Source organism: Homo sapiens, chromosome X (assembly GCF_000001405.40).
Source record: "Homo sapiens chromosome X, GRCh38.p14 Primary Assembly".
NCBI lineage: Eukaryota > Metazoa > Chordata > Mammalia > Primates > Hominidae > Homo > Homo sapiens.
The window spans coordinates 43,973,391-43,974,872 of record NC_000023.11 but is presented as its reverse complement, the minus strand read 5'-3'; positions in this window follow the sequence as shown (position 1 = coordinate 43,974,872).

Sequence of the window (1,482 nt, the reverse complement as noted above, 5' to 3'; positions counted from 1 at the left end):
ATCATCAGCCAAGTGCCAGGTTTTTTTTCAAGGCTTTGAATTTGTCATTTATCCATGATCTTCGCAGGTGGATTCTGTTTGTGACTGGCTGGTCCAAGGTAGACAGGGTATTTTTTTTTCCAAGTGGAGCATAAGAAAAGGGATTTCTGGCAATAAAACTGAAAGTTTTAAGACACCTCTTGCAAATATCAGTGACTGGAGTAAAGGTCCCATGGAAAAGTAATAAGGTGAATGTAAATTTATTAATGAATAACAAATAGTTTGATACAGAGTTGAACAAGACAGTTTCAGCATCAACAATTACATGAAGCTCCCAAGAAAAATTTCTTTTTGAGTTTTATAATGTATTATTTTTTCCACGAAATATATATATTTTAAATTCTCAGTTTAATTCTTCATCAGTAGTATTAATAAAACAAATTATTCTGGGTCTGATTTACCTGACATAAAATAATTATTAAATGTTCTTTGTATTTTCCTCCAAAATCCCTGACGGTTTTCTGTGTTAATTTTAAGCTTTCAAAGGGCAAGAATTATGAAATATTTGCCTTTGTAGTCCCACAGCTCATAACACAGCATGATTCAGCTGCAGGTATTTAACCCACACACATAGTTACCTTTGTCACTTTTCTACTAGTTGTTGTGTAATGGGTTAGCTTTATCTATTAGTTTCTCCTTCATATAGCTCAAGGAGTCAAGGAATACACGTTCTCATTGTTTCTAAATCAGACCTAAAGTTTTATTCTAAATGATGCAGATGAAGGGGCTTATTAAAGTGCCATTGTGAATTTAATCATGTATATGCTGCTAAAAATCATTTAATGGATGAACAACCCGGAAAAAAAGAACTCTCACCACCCACACACATCGTGATAAAATAGGGCAGCGTTTTGCACTTGCTTTAACAGCATCGCCTGAGAAAAAAATTTCTGGTTCCCATCTTTCCCCTCTCTTACTTAAAATTTCAACTTCATCACAGTCAGCTGCCGAATCGTTCAACAGAATGCCACACTGCCTTTGTATTTCCAAAACTATACGTCTCTATTGCGGACGGCACATCTTTATGGCAGCCACATGCTTGAAAAAGAATTAAATTCAGAATATTCATTTGGCCTCTTATTAGTTCCATAATACCATTAAAAAAGAAAGAAAGAAAGAAACTTCCTCGCCCTTGTTCTGCTACGCTGTTCCCATCGTAAGATGCTCCGTGGAAGGGAGCCGAGCGGTGGGCAGAGGCTGAGTCCCCGATAACGAGCGCCTCACATTTCCGTGGCATTCCCATTTGCTAGTGCGCTGCTGCGGCCGCACGCCTGATTGATATATGACTGCAATGGCACTTTTCCATTTGACATTCTCTCTCTCTCTCTCCCTCTCTCTCTCTCCCTCTCTCTCTCCCTCTCTCTCTCTCCCTGTGTCGCTTAAACAACAGTCCTAACTTTTGTGTGTTGCAAATATAAAAGGCAAGCCATGTGACAGAGGGAC